The sequence below is a fragment of the Homo sapiens genome, chromosome 8, assembly GCF_000001405.40.
Source record: "Homo sapiens chromosome 8, GRCh38.p14 Primary Assembly".
NCBI lineage: Eukaryota > Metazoa > Chordata > Mammalia > Primates > Hominidae > Homo > Homo sapiens.
Window position 1 is genome coordinate 23,084,355 of NC_000008.11, and position 20,010 is coordinate 23,104,364.

Genomic DNA, 20,010 nt, shown 5'->3' on the forward strand with positions numbered 1-20,010 from the left:
GCCAGCCGCCCTGGAGGACGTGGAGGGGAGGCAGCCACAGTCCTGGAGAGGCCTGAGCCTGAACAACATGGCTTCCCCCAGCGTGAGACTCGCTTGTCCTCCCACCGCCTGCTCTCTCCTGATGACCAGGTTCCAGGAGTTATCAAAGAACAGCCTCTGAGCTGCGTGGAGAAAGCCATGGAGACAGCCAGGTGAGTTGGGAGTCAGTTCAGAAAGGGCAGAGGGTCCCACAACAGGCCCAGAACCCAGCGGGGGAACCTGGAGAGCCCCCTGCGTGGGCCAACTTACTGTTCCATCGCTCACCCACCTCGCGTCCACAGAGAGCCCTCCCACACTGCCTGGCCTCCCTGGCACCCAAGGCGCTGCCAGAAGACAAGGTCACCAGATAATCTGTCCTCAGAGAGGGCTGAGAACCCACCCGGGGAGTATGGAGGAACCCTACAGAGGGAGAAAGCAAAATGGGTGAGAGTCCAAGGGAGGGAGGGAGAGAGAGTGGCTGCAGCGGGAGCTCAGAGGAGGGAGGAGGCTGCCTGGGCTGCACTTGTCATGGGAGCAGGTCCCAGGGCGGCCACTTCTGCATCTGTGGAAAGCACAGGGCCTGGGGCAGGGGACCTCTGTTTACACCCAGTTCAGCCTCGTTCCCTGAGACTGGAACAGACGTAGGTGGGGGCAAACAGACTCTGAGCAAGAAGCGAACCCGAAGACAGAGCAACCCTGCCCAGATCTGGGGCCTATGAGGGTATGAACCCAAAATACCTGAGACAGGTCTCAATCAAGTTAGAAAGTTTATTTTGCCAAGGTTAAGCAAGCGGCCATGACACAACCTTAAGCCATCCTGACAACATGTGCCCAAGGTGGTTGGCGTCAGCTTCCTTTTGTATATTTTAGGGTGACATGAGACATTCATCAATATGTGTAAGATGTACATTCACTTGGTCCAGAAGGGCGGGACAACTAGAAGTGGAGGCTTCCAGGTCATAGGTAGATAAGAGACAAAAGGTTGCATTCTTTTGGGTCTTTGATCAGCCTTTCACTGAATACACAACATATATGTAAGAGGGTAGAGGTAGAGGAATAGTCACTTATGCCTTTAGCTCAGTGAATCTGCATTTTTGCATAAACAATGGGGCGTAAGAAGCAGTCAGATATGCAGTCTCAGGTGAGCAGAGGGATGACTTTCTGTCCCACACCTGTGAAGATCAGCTATCAATGTACATTGCCAGGGTGAAACTCAGCATAACTGTTTTAGGGTAAGGATCTTGAGGCCCAGAAAGAATTTCCTTGTGGGCAAATTGGGAGGGAGCTATGTAGCTTTTCTATCCTTGTAGCTATCTTATTTAGAAGTAAAGTGGGAGGCAGGTTTGCCTGACACAGTTCCCTGCTTGACTTTTCCCTTTGGCTTAGTGGTTTTGGAGTCCTGGTATTATTTTCTTTTTAGAAGAGATTAAATGAGATGTGTGTGCAATGCACTGCACACCACCTTCCTTAGAGACAGAGAGGGCCCGGAATTCGAGTCTGTGTTTTGCATAGCCTCATTTAAAGAACATGAAAAGAAACAGATGACATTCACTGATACTCATTCATCCATTTCATCTGAGACCCTTCAGCTTTTAGGTGTCTGTGAAAGACAATGGAGAATCTCCTTAGTCAGAGTCGGGAGTCCTGGATTCCAACACTGACCCTGAGAAGCAGCCAGCTGTGGGACCTGGCACAGGTCACCTCCCCTCCATGGAAATGAAGATAAACCTCCCATCCTGTAGAGTTCACTGATTCTCTGTCCCTGTTTGCTCACTGAGGCATAAGTTAACTGCAGTAAACTGTTCACTTTAAAAGAAAAAAGAAAAACAGGGTCTCACTGTGTCGCTCAGGATGGAGTGCAGTGGTGCGATCTCAACTCACTGCAACCTTGGTCTCCTGGGCTCAAGCAATCCTCCCACCTCAGCCTCCTGAGTAGCTGGGACTAGGTGCACACTACCATGCCTGGCTAATTTTAGTATTTTTGGTAGATATGGGATTTCCCCATGTTGCCCAGGCTGGTCTCGAACTCCTGAGCTCAAGCGGTCTGCCCACCTCAGCCTCCCACGGTACTGGAATTACAGACGTGAACCACCGCATCTGGTTTCAACTGTTCACTTCTTAAGTGTTTCATTTCATGTATGACAACTGTATACTCACATGTAACTATTATGCAATCAAGACACAGAAAATTTCCACCACCCCCAGAAAGTCCTTTTCTGCCCCTTTTAGGCAATTTCCACCACCTGGACAAGAGACAGCTACTTCCTCACTGGCTTTTAGGAGACTAATGATTTTCATATATCTGAGGGTACTTAGGAAAATCTCAAGTAAAAGCGTATTCCAAGAATGTAAATGTGTTCAAAAATAAGGTACCATAACAATAGTATCAATAAGCAAACATCAGATAGTCTCAATGGAGGCTGAAAAGGCATTTAGGATAATTAGACACCTATTCTGGCTCTTAGAACGAACAGGAGGACACTTCACAATGATAAGAATTTCTGTAAGAAAACAAGAGCCAATTAATGGTGAAAGGCCTAGGTTTTCCCAATGAAATCAAATCAAGATCAAAATGCCTGCCTTCTCTAAACACCCTTCAACATCATCCTGAGAGTTCTGACCTATGCCACAAGACATAGAACAAAAACAGAGACAGGTCTCCTGAAAGGGAGAAGAAAAAAAAATCATGATATTCAGTATGATTGCATACTTAACAAACTGCAAGGTATAACAATAGTCATTTAAAACATGTATATGTGGATGAATGTGCACAAAATATAGCAGATAACCATTTAGAAAATGTATTTACGAGAGCATTCATTTCAAAAGGGTTACAGAACACATAATATACAAAGAAACAGCCTTAGTAAGAAATAGCAATAATTGGAGTGGAGTGGGGGGAGAGAGAGCATTATGAAAAATAGCACATTTTATTACAATTGTTTTACTATTTCCCTACTAATGTGGGAAGTCCCTTAGAGCAGGTACTGCATATTTTAATCTTGGCATACATTTTGCCTGGTACAAAATCAATTCTCACTAAATACTTGTAAAATCATTGTATGCAGGAGGTAATAAACATTTTCTGTTATTGTTACTCCTCATTAGGTAACTCATTCCTGGCTGGGCACAGTAGTTCCTGCCTATAATCCCAGCACTTTGGGAGGCTGGGGCAGGTGGATTGCTTGAGTTCAGGAGTTCAAGACCAGCCTGGGCAATACAACAAAACATTGTTCCTACAAAAATTAGCTAGGCGTGGTGGCCTGTGCCTGTAGTCCTAGCTACTCAGGAGGGTGAGGTGGGAGGATCTCTTGAGCCCAGGAGGTCGAGGCTGCAATGAACCATGATTGCGCCACTACACTCCAGCCTGGGCAACACAGTGAGATCCTGTCTCAAAAAAACAAAAACAAGAAAGCCTCATTCTTCTAGGTAGAGTTTCTGCCTTCACAGTGGTTTTTAATGCTGATTCATAATAGAATCTCTTTTAGGGAGCTGTAAAATATATGCTGGGTCTACAGAAAAGATTGTTGATATGAGTGGAAGATAAGCCATTTCGGCATACATATGATAACTATAAAACAAGAACCAAATGGAAATTTTAAAACTGGAAATTCCACTCTCTGAAATGAAAAGTTTATTTGAATTTTCTTAAGAGAGATTGAACAGGGCTGGGCGCGGTGGCTCACATCTGTAATCCCAGCACTTTGGGAGGCCAAGGCAGGTGGATCGCCTGAGGTCAGGAGATCAAGACCAGCCTGGCCAACATAGTGAAACCCTGTCTCTACTAAAAATACAAAAAATTAGCCGGGTGTGGTGGCAGATGCCTGTAATCCCAGCTACTCGGGAGCCTGAGGCCAAATCGCCTGAACCCAGGAGACAGAGGTTGCAGTGAGCCGAGATCATGCCACTGCACTCCAGCCTGGGCAACAAGAGCAAACACTCTGTTTCAAAAAAAAAAAAAAAAAGAGAGAGAGAGATTGAACATTATAGAAGAATGAGTGAACTTGAAAAGAGATCAGTAGAAACAATTCCATCTGAAGTACAAGGGAAAATGGGACTGAAAGAAAACAAGGAAGCGAGTCTCAGTGACCTGTGGTACAATATCACGCACCACACATGGAACCAGGGACCAAGAAGAAATGGCTGGAAAAGATGAGGAAAAAAATGGTTGCTGTATTCTCAAATGTAGTGAAAAAACGTCAACTTACCAATTCAAAAAGCTTATAAACTCCTCAGAAAAATAAATGTAAAGAAAACCCTACCTGGACACATCATAGTCAATCATACAGAGCAAATTTTGTGCATTCACAGGGAACAAAGATATGAACGACAGCTGACCCAAAACAACGGAGGCCCAGGATGTGTGAAGTGGTGAAAGAACCCTGTTGACCTATTATTCACACCCCGTGAAAATATCCTTTAAAAACAAAGGAGAAAGGAATAAGTTGTGAGAGATTGTATTTTCCAAATTTGGCCACAACAATAAATGTAACCAGAATAAACAAACGAATTAAAAGGAAGTTTCCCCAACTGGAAAAAAACGCAAGCTGAAATTATAAACTATCTAAAATATATGCACCTTAAATATAAAGCTTCAGATAGATTGAAAGTAAAAGATGGGAAGAGATATAAAACACAACTGTAAAGCATGAGAAAGCTAGTGTGGCTTTCTTAATGTCAAAGAAAGTAGATTCAAGATAGGGCATATTAGCAAAGATAAGGAGGGATGTATAATGATAAAAGGATCAATTCATCAGAATGACATAACACTAAAAAAAAGGTGTGTACCTAATATGGATGCAAAGAGGTGAACAATAGACACTGGAGCCTACCTACTTCAGGGTAGAAAGTGGGAGGAGGGAGAGGATCAGAAAAAGTAACTATTAGGTACTAGGCTTAGTACCTGGGTGATGAAATAACCTGTACAACAAACCCCCATGACACAAGTTTACCTATATAATAAACTTGCACAAGTACCCCTGAACCTAAAATAAAGTTTAAAAACGTATTAAAAATATGTGTGTACCTAATAACAGAGCTTCAAAGATTTGCAGCAGAAACAGACAGAATTAGTGAGAGAAACAGACAAATGCACGATCATAACTAGAGATTTTTAACATCCCCCGCTGAACAACTGATAGAACCAGTAAAAAAAAAATCAATGAAGTCATAGACAATCTGAAAAAATTAACAACCACCTTGAGGTAATAAACATTTATAGAGCACTATACTGAACAACTGTAGAATGTTCATTCGTTTTGAGTGCATATAGTATGTTCACTAAGGTAGACCCTATTCTGGGCCTTAAAAACAGTCTTGATAAATTCAAAAGAATTGAAATTGTACAGAATATATTCTTTAGGTTGCAGAGGAATTGAATTAGATATCAGTAAGAATAAGAGATATAGAAAAGACTTTCATGTTTGCAATTTAAACAACCATGGGCCAGAGAAGAAACCTTATGGAAATCAGAAATATTTCAAACTAAATGATAATGCAAAATATCAAAATTTATAGGATGTAACTACAGGACATAGAGAGTATGAGTGCTTATATTAGTAAAGAAAAAAAGATAGAAAACAATGATCCAGGTTTCCACTTAAAAGCTGGAGAAAGAAGAGTAATATAAACCCAGAATAAGCATAAGAAAGGCAATAATCAGAAGAGGAAAACTATAGAATAGGAAACAGGAACACCCTGAAAGTAATAAAGAAATTAACACAGACAGCATAGCTATTTGAAAAGAATAGTAACATTTATAAATCTGTGTTTCAGAAGAAAACGGCAGGATTAGATTAACCTGTGATTCCTGGCTGGCCACGAGGTCACCCATGGCATGGAGCTGCCCACAACGCCCTTCTCAGCATGAAGCATCCTGAAAGATCCAGGGCCAGGTTCCCCAGGATTGGGGAGTTGGTAAGTAGAAAGGAGGACTGAAACCAGCCGAATTCTCCCATAGAGCTGATGTTTATGTTTTCTTTGAAAAAACATAGAAATTTATCCTCCTGGTGTTAGAACTTGAGAAAGTTATGTTTGTCTTAACTGAGTTCCTTTATCAGGAAACCCACCATCAAACTTCCCAGACAATATCAAGGGGCTGAAACTTCCTGAGATCACTGCATTTGAACAGTGAGATGCCAGGCCCCTCACCACCATAATTGCCTAACCAACCACATGCTTCCTGTTGACCAGCCTCTCTTCCTTACCTGCTCTCTAATTCCTGTTTTCCTGCACATGGTTACATTCCTTACCCCTCTCTAGTTCCTGTTTTCTCACACATGTTTACTTTCCTTGCCCCTCTCTAATTCCTGTTTTCCCGCACATGGTTACATTTCTTCCCTGCTATATAAACCTTTAATTTTCCCTGGGAATACTTGTTGTCTCAGTGATTGGCCATCTGTGCATCAAGCAGCAGGACCTAGACCAAAACTCTGGTGTTTCAGGAACAAGAACAACTTACCTATGGACAATTTTCATGCCTGTGGCTCTATGGGTTGCTCAGAAAGTTCACCAGAACAACTAATATAAACTACATACCAGGAAATTCATCAAAATTACTACTACTTTTTGTCATTCCTCCATCTAAAGATGCTTCAAGCCCAACATCTAGAAATCTCAACTGACTGTCCTCTGGACTCAAAAACTGGGCTTGTATCATTTGCTCCAACCATTAACCTTTACTTTTCTTTTGTTTCCATAGAAATGCCTCTTATTAAATACCTGACTGACCACACCTTATAGAGGCCTGACCTAGGTGAAAGACCACCTGTAACATCACCTCCTAAAATGAGATACAACTACCTAACTGGATAAAACTCTTCTCATGACTAAAAGACTTATTCAATAAGATATGGGGCAATATAGTTAGACTTATGTCCTGCCTGTTGCAATTTATGTTCCTGTTTTCCTTTATAGGTCTCTTGCCACTCAGTTACTAACCTGATTCTTCTCTCCACGGCCATCAACTCGACTTTTAATACATGAAACTTCTCGGGAAGTTCCAGACGAGGGAAATGAGGGGGTTAAAATATGCTATTTTAGCATATTGACTATTTAAGTTAAAGATACTTGAAAAACAGCAAGTGTGAAAAGATCACGCCCTATGAGTGGGGCAAGGGAAGTTTTCCCATTTCATAAAGACACCAGCTACTGGGTTTAGGGCCCAAACTTATCCAATATGACCTCTTCTTAAGTAATTATATCTGCAAAGAACCCATTTCTAAAAAAGATCACATTCACAGGTACCAGAGTGTAGGGCTTCAAAATATGCTTTAGGGGGACACATTCAACCCACAAAACCATACCAAGAAAATATGGTTCATGTACAGGGAAAGAAGAAATTGACAGATATCTGGGGAAGCTCAGACATTGGACTTTTTGGGCAAATGCTTTAAATCAACAATTTTAAATATGCTCAGATATTTAAAGGAAGTGTGTGTGTGTGTGTATGTGAGTGTGTGTGTGTGTGTGTGTGTGTGTGTGTGTGTGTGTTCTAGAAGATTGCGGAGGATTAAAACAGTAGCTCGCAGCCCATGGCTTCCAGGATGGGCAGGTGCTGGAGGGAAATATTCTGGGGAAACCCAGAGCAGCACCTACACCTTTCCCTTGGGGAAACATCGATGCATCTATAGATATGTATACATACTTGTATGAACATATAGAGAATATGCATAAAGAGATAAGAATTATTAAAAGGTCCCCAGTGGAAATCCTGGGGCCAAAAAAAATAAAGTAAACAACACAGCAGAGGGATTCCACAGCAGATTTGATCAGGCAGAAGAAAGAATCCGCTAATTTGAAGATAGGAGAAAAGAATAGGCCAGAGAGCCTCTGCGGTGTGCACGGAGGGCAGAACTGCTTCACAAAAGCAGACCTTCCCTTGCTTGTCTTTTCTCACACTAGAGAAAGCAGTAGATGATCCTATCTTTGAAGAGTGTGTTGTTAACATCAAGCATAAGAAGACAGTAATTAGGGGTAAAATCCTGAGGTATGTATGAGTTAATGACCAAATTAACTATGGAAACTTACATAAGAAGTGTAGAGGCTTTGTTTGTTTTTCTTTTTGCCCCTGTCCTCCCATTCTGCCCTGAAACAGCTCTGAGTAACACAGGCTGTGTTCTTGCTGTGACTCACACCTCCCTGCCTTCTCTTCCTTCAGGCTTGCTGAAGTCGGTGGGGGCTTGTTTCCTGCCCCGGACTCCCTGGAATTTAAAGTGACATAGTCTTGGGGACTGGAATCCAGCACCTCCTTCTTCCCCTCCATGTGGGGACAGGGACACCAGCACTGGCTTGGCTCACCCACAGCCTCCCCCGGGGTTCTCTGGCTGCACCTGGGGCTACTGAGTGCTGCAGTCCAGCTCTGATGGAGCTGTCAGGGAAGAGGCAGTGGGTCCCTGAGTGGTGAACTGGCCCTGGTTTCTGGGGAAGTCCTGGTTCTGGGGGAGTCCTATGGTCCCTCTCCTGTGGCTTCCTCCAACCCTGGGCGGACCTTCACTTTTTCTCCGTCAACCCTTCCTGCATCCTCATCAGTGGGCCCAGGTTGCTCAGACCTGGAAGCACCTGGGAGACCCATTTCCCGCTCCCCTTGCCCTGGAGGACCCGCTCTCCCTCTCGCCCACAGCTCCTGGGAGGCCCAGGCGTGCCACCCACTGTCCACCTTCCCCAGAGGAGAGGTGGGGCTGCTCTGTGCTCCCCACTGCTTCCCTCCTGCCCTGCCCATGAGCTCCTCAGCCTCACTTGGAGTCATGGGCTGTGAGCTATGGTTTGAATCCTCCACAATCCTCCAGTCTCATCTTTCCTCCTCTTAGAGTTGACCATGCTTTTCCTCCTGCTCAATTCTCCCTTTTTTTCCTTCCCTTTTCCTCCAAGTCACCACTAGGTAGGGCTCTACATGTGTGACCCTTCATTACAGGCGACCCTTATTCTTCAACTCTGTGCCCTTTTTCCTAACATTTGGCCTCTACTCGAAGCCCCCCAAAACATACAGTCAATAAAATTCTGTGAGTCCCCCTCCAAAGATGGAGAGGATGGCCTATGTTCTCGAGATGGGCAAAGGTGAGAGTTCAGTGTCCTGCTCCACCCAAATACCAGCTCCTCTCCCCAAAACCTCAATCACCATTATGCTGAGGGCAAAGAAGTTGTGAATATTTGTGAATACATCTTTGGCCACATTTCTAATCACCTTCATTAGGTGGCTCCCTAGAAGTAGAATATCACACACACACACACACACACACACACACACACACACACACACACACACACACAGAGCTGTGATTCCTACCAACAATACATCACTTTAGATCTGACATCACTGCTCTTTGATTTTCACTTCTGCTAACTAGGAAATAATTAATTGACGCCAATATGCATTTCTCTGCTTATTGAATTGTGTCCCATGTATTGATGTGTTGTTTGAATTTCTTTTTTCAAGCTGATTTTTTTAGGATTTGTGTATTGTCTGGGAAGACAGACTCCATGCTTCCCAAATACTAATAACAAATTTCTAGTCTTTTTAATTTGCCTCTTCTTTTTGTCTTAGATTTTAATGTACAGAAGTTTTAAATGTTAAGTAGTTGAATCTATAGGTACACTTATTTTTTTTATGGTCATAAGCTTAGAAAATCCTTTGCCCAACATAAAATAAGAGAACTCTAATTTCTTAGGGAGATTTTTATTAAATGATTAGATTTGTAGCATATAGTTGTATAAAATAAGATGAACTCTAATTTCTTAGGGAGGTTTTATTAAATGATTAGATTTGTAGCATATCATCGTGTAAAGTACATGGACATTATTTTTGATATAGAAAGTGTAGTGTTCCCCTTCATTGTTCTGAGTTACTCTCATCTGTCCAACCCCAGCGAGCCACTGATTATTCCCTTTCTCTGAACTTTGTGGTGTTTATGGAAGCTTCATTCCGTAGCACGAAGGCGTCAATCATTAATCTCGGGTGATTAGTCCTCAGGCATCTCCCTGCTCTGAGCTGAGGGGTGTGGTAGTGTTGAAAGTTGCAGTGCTCTGATCACGTGGTTGGTTCGACTGGTAACTGGTCCCTCTCTGGCAAGAGCCACCTCATCAGTATCAACTCAGGAATGCTGGAAATCATTTTATGAATAAAAAATAAAGCCCCTCTCACCACAATTACTCAAGAAACTTCAATGTTTTAAAGCTCTGTTCCCAGAGCCAGGAGCAGAGAAAAAAAGTAGATGTTCCTTATTATATCCCAGCCATGAATACCAGGAGAGAGGATCACTGGAGCCCTTTCAGAAGCTGCTTACCATGGCGCTCAGGGGAGAGGCCATGGTCGGAAGGAAAAAGTGTGGATGAGGAGTGTGATTGATGGCAAATGTTTGCTAATGTGGGACTAGCTGGACCCTGTTTTCTGGTGGTTCCTGAATCAGAGTTCTAGCACTACATACTGTAGTGTGGATTGGCTGTTTCAGGAACCTGGTCTCTCTGCAGTCGTTAGATTTCTGCATAAAGATTTAGCATAAATACTCTGTATAGAAGAAAAGAAAAATTTAAAAATTATATTTAATTATGTTTTGAGGCCTTCATGAAATTCTTTTTTTTTTTTTTTGAGACGGAGTCTTGCTGTGCCTCCCAGGCTGGAGGGCAGTGGCACGATCTCGGCTCACTGCAAGCTCCGCCCCCTAGGTTCCTACCATTCTCCTGCCTCAGCCTCCCGAGTAGCTGGGACTACAGGCGCCCGCCACCATGCCTGGCTAACTTTTTTTGTATTTTTTAGTAGAGACGGGGTTTCATCGTGTTAGCCAGGACGATCTCGATCTCCTGACCTCGTGATCCGCCTGCCTTGGCCTCCCAAAGTGCTGGGATTACAGGCGTGAGCCACCGCTCCCAGCCATGAAATATTTAAAGAAATTACACCACACAACCCATATTGACATCAACTGACCCCTAGAAACTAATGGAGGAATGTGTTAGGAAAAAATGTTCTGCCAGGGACCCATCTGATATTGGCCTGACCATCTGAGCTCAGACATTGGTCCCACTCACTAACAGATCTAAGAAACACGAGGTACCAGCCCTACTACCAAAAACTCTGAGTGCTATAGGCTCAGACAAAAAGGCAAACTTCTAGCTGAGAGAATATTAACAAATTACAGTGAGCAATATGTTCATAGTTCAAGACACTTCTGTGAACAGATGTGTGGATTTTCTTCACCCTGATCAATTATTCCACAACAGATGACTGCCCATAATTCAATTCACTTCTGACACTAATCAGAGGTAGTGCTGACCCCACAGGGTAAAGACTCAGTCCCACAAGACTCCCCACACTTCAGGGGCAAATCACAAGTAGGAGGTCTGTGTCCCCATCCAGATTTCATTTTGCATTGGCTCTGTGTCCCACCAAAATCTCCTTTTGAATTGTAATCCCCATGGGTCAGGGGAGGGACCTGGTGGGAGATGTCTGGATCATGGGGGTGGTTTCCTCATGCTGTTCTCATGATAGTTCTCGCGACTTCTGATGGTTTTATAAGGGTTTGGCAGTTCCTCCTTCACTCTCTTCTCTTTCTCCTGCCGCCTTGTGAAGAAGGTGCCAGCTTCCCCATCTCCTTCCGCCATGATTGTGAGTTTCCTGAGGCCTCCCCGGCCATGGTGAACTGTGAGTCAATTAAACCTCTTTCCTTTGTAAATTACCCAGTCTCAGGTATCCCTTTATAGCAGGGTGAAAATGGACTAAAACAGGGTCCCCAAGTCATCCACACCTTCTGTCTGACTTAGCTACTGATACATAATAGTGTTTGGTGACCCTAAATGTCTAAAAATGGAGTCACTTATGACAGGTGATCAGCCCACATTGAAATTGCTGACCCCTCAGAGTGAGAAGCGTATGTGTGGTGGACTGAGGTGATGAGAGGACCTGCTGTGGACAGGCACCCCCTAGACCAGACAAGCAAGTGAAGCCAGAATGCAGCTGAGATCTTGGCTACAGACAAGCCTGCAGAGGGCCATAAAAACTGCAAAGACCCTGACCACAGCCAAGCAGCTGCTGCAACTCTGCCCATGAAAACTCAGAGGCCTCTTTCCCATGGGCTATGGAAGAAGAGCAGCGACAGCCCCCCACCGGTCCATGTTCTGAGGAAACCCGGACCTGCCAGTGTGTCAGTCAGCATGCTGGTCTCCTGACACGCTCACTGTGGTCACTTCCCCACCGTCTCATCACCGCCTGTGTGTGTTGACTATATTTGCATGAGTGTGTATGTGCAAAAGCCACACAATAAACTGTGAATTTGCTGCAGGGAATTAAGGAACCAGAGAGACCGATCAGGGTGCAGGAGAGTTTTTATTTTAGGTGTATACCGGCTCAGCAGACATGTGTCCTGAAAGTCTGAGCAGCAGACAAAGAAAGCAGTCACCTTTTAAGCAGTTTGTGGCAGGAGTTACCTGATCCTGGAAGCAGACTTACAGAAGGGAGAACAAAGACAGTGAATTATCATGTAACATTCTTTAGCTTACATTTTGGGAAAGCATGTGCTGTAACTTATGCTTATTTAGTAAGTATAAATGAAGAGAAACAGAAACTACAAGGTATGTGGAAAGAGACAAGGTTAATGCCTCACTGTCTTTACAGAAAGGCAGTTAATATTCTTTCTTAGCTCTTACTTTGGGGGGGTGGTCACTAATGCCCATTACAGCTTTACTTTTTCTGTATTTTTTCATTTTATAAGGACAATTAATATCTTTTAATTTTTCTACTTCAAATTCATAAGAATTTCATTGGCCATTGAGTCATTGTGAAACCTCCTGGTCCCCCCACAACTAGGCTAATTGGAACCCGACATGGGAGCCACCAACTGGAAGTTCCCATGATCCCCTTCTCAGGTTTCATCATTGACTAGGCTGGCTCACAGAAGCCAGGAACATAGTTTACTTGCTATTGCCAATTTATTACAGAGGATATTTTTAATGATTATCAATCAACAGCCAGATGAAGAGATACACAGGGTCAGGGTTGTGAGGGTGCCCGGTGCAGGAGCTCTGTCCTCGTGGAATTAGGGCGTGCCACCCTCCCGACATGTGGATGGGTACTTGTTCACAAACCCAGAGTCTCTCTGAACTTTGTCCTCTTAAGCTTCTTTGGAGGCTTCATTGCTTAAGCTTGAGTGATTACATCATTGACCTTTGGTGATCACCTCAACATTCAGCCCCTCTTCTCTCACCAGAGGCTGGGACATGGGGAGGGCATTTGCAGCTTCCACCAGGTAAGCAAAACCCAAGCAAAACTTCAGCAGGGGTTGAAGTTTCAACCCTCTAATCATAGGCCGGTTCCCCCTCCCGAGGCTGTCCAGGAGCCCCTAACCATCAGTCATCTCACTGGTGTACAAAGAGACATTGATCACTTCAGAGATTCCAAGGATTTCAGGAGCTTTGTGGCAAGAAACAGGAGCTGACATCAAATATGTATCTCTTATTATTTCACGGTCCACAACCAGGTCTCTGGACTCTCTTACAGCAAAACGATATGCAACTCAAAAGATACTGGTAGGTTACTAGTCCTCCTCAGTCATTGATAATTAGTCCAGTCCATCATCATGTTATATGAAAATGTCTCCTAGGATGAGGCCACTCAGGTTTGCAGGCCTCCGTTCCCTCTGTCAGGTCCTAAAAGCAGGACAGGTCTCAGCAAACATGGAGCTTCCCCCTCCCAGATATCTGGAATAATTGAGCTAAGAGACAATGTCATCTCCTTCTCAGTATTACTGTAATATAAGATTTCCCTCATTACATAAACCATGTATTCATTCCTTTACTCTCAGCAACTCCTCCTCCTCGTTTTCATTTCTACTCAAACTTTTCTACTTTGGAAATAACTGTGATGGGCTGGCAGCAATACTAGTGTAACAAGTGTGTCCCTTCAGTGCACATCCATTCATACAGGGCAGGGTTACACAGGTGTAGAACTAGTGGGCTATTTTACCAATAGGCAACAAATTAGTCCATTGTGTGTTGCTATAAAGGAATATCTGAGGCTGGGTCATTTATAAAGAAAAGAAGTTTATTTGGCTTACGGTCCTGCAGGCTGCATGAGCATGGCATCTGCATCTGCTCAGCTTCTGGTGAGGGCCTCAGGGAGCTTCCAATCATGGAAGAAGGCAAAGGAGGAGCCAGCACATCACATGGTGAGAGGGAGCAAGAGATAGAGGTGAGAGGTCCCAGACTCCTTTAAACAACCAGCTCTCTAGTGAACTAACAGAGTGAGAACTCACTCATTACTGTGGAAAGGGCAGTGAGCCATTCATGAGGGTTCTTCCCCCATGACGCTAACACCTTCACCAGGCCCATACCAACCTCAGGGATCACATTTCAATATGACATTTGGAGGGGACACACATGCAAACTGTATCAGGCTATGTAGCTGCATTTACTGTTAGCCCCAGTTTTGCAAGACTGGGGTCCCATCAGGTCCATAAGAAAATTGACAGAAAAGTCTAAACACGTAGTCTGTTCCTGGCTTAGGGGTCGTCGCTGCTTCCAGCGTTTATAGTTGTAGCCCTGGCCCTGTGGCCAAGGTACCAGGTGGTGGGTGGGGAGAAGGGGAGAGGTGAGGTAATACAGGGAAGACAGACAAAAATGACGGTCACTGGCCGGGCGCTGTGGCTCATGCCTATAATCTCAGCACTTATGGGATGCCAAGGCAGGTAGATTACCCGAGGTCAGGAGTTTGAGACCTGCCTGACCAACACAGTGAAACCCCGTCTCTGCTAAAAATATAAAAATTAGCTGGGCGTGGTGGCGGGAGGCTAAGGCAGGGGAATCACTTGAACCCAGGAGGTGGAGTTTGTAGTGAGCCAAGATCATGCCATTGCACTCCAGCCTGGGCAACAGAGCGAGACTGTGTCTCAAAAAAAAAAAAAAAACCACTACCACCACCACCACCACCACCAACAAAATGACAGTCATCACACTAGCATCCTCCCTACCTCCTCATCCCCAGATCCACTGGAAAAATGGAGGAAAGTCTGGTGGGGACACTCCTTTAGCCCACTCGTGTGGAGTAGGGGCACACACCAGTGAAGGTGTGGAAGCCAGCCCTTCATGCCTGTGTCTCCCCCCATTTTAGACAATCAATGTTTCAGTTGACTGTTCTGCTTCCCTGTCAAATTATTACTCTAAGGAGGGTATCTCTCTGCCCATTGCTAAACATTATGCACTGAACGGCATGTTTCTTGGTCCAAGGAAGTGCGACTTAGTGGTCCAAACTAGAATAATACCTTATTTCAGTTCTTTTATATTAATAGCACTCTGGGCATTTGCAGCCTCCACCAGGTAAGCAAAAGACAATCCACAGTCAGTTTCTGTTCCTGTCAAGACTCACCTGTACCCCCCAGGGCACTGCCCTCAGTCTCACTTTCCAAGTATGTTGAGGGCCTCCCCATCAGGGAATCTGCCTCATAGCTATAGGCAGTCTGTGTCTCTCCCGCTGCTAGACAGAACAGCTCTTATTGGCATTATGTGCCTGAGAGAGAGCAAGAGGAATGTGTTTCGATTCAGCCCATCTCTGCATCACTGTGGTTCCCCCATAACCACTCCTTTTATTTAATGGCCTCTGGTGACCACCTCAAGGGAGTACATGGTGGGTGGTATCTCTTGCTGATGTCAATCACTTTCCAAACCTGAGGCAGGTTCTACTGAGCAGTATGGATGTGTCCTACTTTAATGCGCTCCTCAAGTCCCCCTAGAGATTGCCATGGGGTCAGGCCTCATATGGACATCCCTTCAATAGGCCAGTTTTCCATTATTCTTGGAAACAATGGGGAATGTAGAGACGAATATCCAAATTTAATACACTTTATTTGAAAAGCAAGAATTGCAATGCTTGGCATATACAAAGACCAACTTGTCTTTGATATGTCCAAAGACCAAAAAGAGAAGTTTAGAGGCTTTTTTAAAAGGAGAAATTCTGGCCAGGTGCAGTGGCTCATGCCTGTAATCCTGGCACTTTGGGAGGCCAAGGCGGGCGGATCACGAGGTCACGAGATCGTGACCATCCTGGCTAACACGATGAAACCCCATCTGTACTAAAAACACAAAAAAATTAGCTGGGCGTGGTGGCAGGCACCTGTAGTCCCAGCTACTTGGGGGGCTGAGGCAGGAGAATGGCGTGAACCCAGGAGGCAGAGCTTGCAGTGAGCCGATATCGCACCACTGCACTCCAGTCTGGGTGACACAGCGAGACTCCATCTCAAAAAAAAAAAAAAAAAAAAGGAGAAATACTAATTATTTTTTTTTCTAGGAAGCTCATTGGCACTGTCAAATTTGAAGAAGAGGCGTGCTCTGACTGGTGAGTGACTGCAGTGGGTCAGGCTGGTCTTAGAGCAGTAGCAGGTTATGTCCATAGATATTAGATAGGACTATTAATAGTTTCAGGTTACAGCTGCCAGGCTTACAGAGAATTGCAGTTTGGGGGTAATACAGTGATTTTTCTTCCCCATGGCCTCTTGACTCTGTTTTAGTTGGGTGTGACAAGAATGACCCAATTTGTGCAATCAACTTTCACATTCTGCTTCCCAACTCTATGACCAAGACGTTGAGGACTGTTCATGAGCCAGAAAACAACTCAAGTACAGGGGCTTTTGCTGCTGTCAAATCTTCCATCACGCTAGGAAAACAGCATGCAATCCAACCCACCTAGCCAATTTGCCTTTGCCTTCTTCCATCAGAGGGGTGGCCTTCCAAATAGGATGTTGACCATTCACCTAGGAATGACTGTCTACAAACTAAGTAGCTCTTGGTTGGTCAGTAAAGAGCTGCGTATAGGGCAGTGTCCAAGTGACCACAGAATCCAGCAGCTCCTCACTCAGTTCCAGACTCAGTCTGTGGGGAACAGAGGCTCCCTGCTCATGAGTGTCTCCTCTTTGCCTTCCTCAGGCACCAGGATCCCGTATCAACCATTTCCATTTTGTAATAGAACTCTTCGGGGACTGCCCTCCCCGTTAGAGCTTTTCCAAGATCTCTGAAGACATCATGAGTTTTTCAGGTTTCAAGATTATTTTATGTCCTTCAGTCACAGGGGGAGCTTCAGCTAGTGTTCCATCGTAAGCTAGTAAGTGCCTCTCAAATGGAAACTTTATAGTCTAAAGGCCCAGTTCCCTGGAGGTGCTCACAGCCTTTTGCCATTAGCCCTAGGCAGTGCTCCACACAGGGCACAGAGAATGTGTGTTACCTGCAGTCTGGTTTCTAGTCTACACTGTGTAGTCCACCCTCCAGGGCCAAGGGGCCTGGAGTGCTCTAAAGACTTTCCTGCAGGCCCTCGTGGCTCTGTGTTAATGCTGTCAGTCTTCCTGAAGTCCTGTCCTCTCACCTCCTGCCTAGATCTGCCCCCAGCACACATTCCTGACTCCACACATTTCTCAGTGCCTGCGACCTGGCACACATTTCTGATCCGAACTCAGTGCCTGGGGCCTGGCAGGTGCCCAGGGCACTCCATTGCTCAAATCCAAGCCTGTGGAGAGGATGACATATCATTCCCAGGTTTCTGATGAGCAGAAAAAAAAATCTTTGTTTCTATAGTGCTATCCTCTTTTATCCACCATGTGAGAGGTCAGGAGCCGACTCACCCCAAGGGTCTAGGAGTTGTGCCATTGACCTTACTGCCTAGGGTCACAGGCTGGCACCCTTCAGTACCACACATTGGATCTCTCCACACAGCAGCAGTGTGCTTAACTCAATGGGGAGGTGAGTAGCCCAAGGTCAGATAGTTGGACCTGGATAGACACTTGACTGGGGGACAGGCTTTGGAAGCCACTCCCCTGGGCCTCCTCTGTCCATGGGGCCTCAATACTAGAGCCCACAAGGTCGGCCAGAGAGTGTCTGTGCCTCGACCATGCAAAGGGTGCCAGGTTGTGGCTAGGGATGCCCCCGGGGTTCCTCTCCCTCCTACCTACTCCTCAGCCTCTGCATGTGCCCGTCATGGCCCCTGTGTCCTTCATTCTGTCCACTCATGTGTTCACTGGGCCCCTCCTTGGTGCCAGGCACCCGCTACTGAGGGATACCAAGCCCCTGCCAGAGAAGCTTGGAGCTGGGTCACAGCAGCAAGGAGGCTGGAGACATCAGTGGCATCAGTGCACTGGTCAGTGAGGCCGCTGTGGGAGGAGGGAGTGGGAGCAGAAGCTAAGAGTGGACTGAAGTCCTTAGGCCAGGAGGTAGTTCAGGGTTTAAGAAGAGGAGAGACAGGCGTCCCGGGGAGGGAGCAGGCTCAGGATGGGCCTCCAGTGCCTCCTCTGGAGCTCACTACCCAGACTACAGCAGCGCAGTGGGCAGCGCCTCAGCTCCTTCCCCTTCTGCTGCCTACAGCCTGGACAGGACCCGGAATCAAACCGCAGGCCCTGGGTCACCGCTGCCGGAAAGAGCCAGTTCCTGTCCGTCCATGCACCCACCACCAAAACCCAGGCCTTCCTGGAGGTGCTAGGGGAGGCCATGCCCCTTTTCTGAGTGCTTGGAAGTGACTGCTGCAAGTGACAAGTGACCACGCCTTTTCCCCCGCGGGTATAAATTCAGAGGCGCTGCGCTCCGATTCTGGCAGTGCAGCTGTGGGAACCTCTCCACGCGCACGAACTCAGCCAACGATTTCTGATAGATTTTTGGGAGTTTGACCAGAGATGCAAGGGGTGAAGGAGCGCTTCCTACCGTTAGGGAACTCTGGGGACAGAGCGCCCCGGCCGCCTGATGGCCGAGGCAGGGTGCGACCCAGGACCCAGGACGGCGTCGGGAACCATACCATGGCCCGGATCCCCAAGACCCTAAAGTTCGTCGTCGTCATCGTCGCGGTCCTGCTGCCAGTGAGTCCCGGCCGCGGTCCCTGGCTGGGGAAGAGCGCACCTGGCGCCGGGAGGGGGCAGGGAGACGGGGACACGGCAGGGATGCCTGGCCCTGGTCACCTGCGGCCGGGCATGTCCGGGCAGGACGAACTCGCCGTCGGAGTCAGGGGAAGAACTGGGTCCCCGGGCTGGGCAGGAGGGACCCGGCCGCGAGGGAGCAGAGAGGCGGTCCCCCTGGCTGCCCCGAGCCCGCGAAGGGAGGGAAGTTCCAGAATCGAGAGAGGGAGGGAGTCAAGGTGGAACCCATAGAGTGAGCCTCCTGAAGACACAGAGCGGTTGCCTCTCTCATTAATTAATTAATTAGTTAATAAAATTAACCCCATGTTTACATTCTTAAACGTGTTCCTTGGAGATCGGTTTAACCAACAGCCAGTGAAAAAACTTTTCAGCGCTGTCTTTAGCAACTTTCACCTCCTCTGTCCTGAAAGTGGCAGGAAGCCGGAATGTGGCAGGAAGCGGTTAACCAAGGTGCTGCCTTGGTTAATGTCTTCCACTACCACCCGTGTGTCCCCTCTGTATCCCATAGGCAGGACCGGGGCTGGCCCCTTCCTTCAGCATAAACGGTGTAAAGTTGTTGTGAGTTGGCTTTGGAAACTGAGATTGGTAGTAGTGTGAGTGCAAGGACATATTATGTATAAAATATGCAGACTTCTAGGTCTCTTTCAGATTGATTGAGGTTTTTGCTAACAGCCCTTTTTAAGATTCTTTATGTAATACAAAAAAAAGAAAAAAGAAAAAGAAAAGGCCAAAGCAAGGTTACAGAAACCATGAGAGTTTGCATGTTGTCTTTCTACAAATTAATGCTAAATTCAGAAAAGCAGTAACATTTTCACCTCTCAAAAATTACACAACTGACTTTTAAAATAGTTTATAGTGGGTGGACTTACCTGAGGCAGCTAGAAGAATGGCTGTGTCAGGACAGTGGCCCTGAAGAGAGAATGCATGGATGACCAGTGTAGACAAGGCCAGCAACATCAGTTTCACGGTTTTGGGAATGTGAACTCTATGCGTCCCAAAGGAGGCTTTAATCCCTCCATCAGTCTTGCCTTATTAAATGCATTTAAATGTACAATCACTTTGTTAAATTTTGGAGCTAACACAAATCACATTAGATGTTTTATGGCAGTACATTCAGATTGATCTT

At 45.9% G+C, this 20,010-nt stretch overlaps 1 protein-coding gene and 1 long non-coding RNA gene across 2 annotated transcripts in view, besides 2 other annotated features; both read left to right on the forward strand.

Annotated features, from left to right (window-relative positions):
- LOC254896 (uncharacterized) lies at positions 1 to 19,204 on the forward strand. Its single transcript, NR_046173.1, has 4 exons — positions 1 to 191; positions 5,794 to 5,934; positions 16,283 to 16,330; positions 18,343 to 19,204. It is a non-coding gene; the product is annotated as an uncharacterized LOC254896 (long non-coding RNA).
- Positions 52 to 933: an enhancer, noted in NCBI's record as "H3K27ac-H3K4me1 hESC enhancer chr8:22941919-22942800 (GRCh37/hg19 assembly coordinates)". NCBI's record gives its function as "activates a minimal SCP1, AML or CMV promoter by ChIP-STARR-seq in naive H9 embryonic stem cells {active_cell/tissue: H9 hESC(naive)}" and the evidence as "EXISTENCE:reporter gene assay evidence [ECO:0000049][PMID:30033119]".
- Positions 18,567 to 20,010, forward strand: part of TNFRSF10C (TNF receptor superfamily member 10c) — a 14,525-nt gene continuing 13,081 nt past the window's right edge. The window contains exon 1 of the mRNA NM_003841.5: positions 18,567 to 18,827. Coding sequence (NP_003832.3) covers positions 18,768 to 18,827 — 60 coding nt within the window. The 5' untranslated portion in view covers positions 18,567 to 18,767. The remainder of the gene's footprint in view (positions 18,828 to 20,010) is intronic.
- Positions 18,632 to 19,441: an enhancer, noted in NCBI's record as "H3K4me1 hESC enhancer chr8:22960499-22961308 (GRCh37/hg19 assembly coordinates)". NCBI's record gives its function as "activates a minimal SCP1, AML or CMV promoter by ChIP-STARR-seq in naive H9 embryonic stem cells {active_cell/tissue: H9 hESC(naive)}" and the evidence as "EXISTENCE:reporter gene assay evidence [ECO:0000049][PMID:30033119]".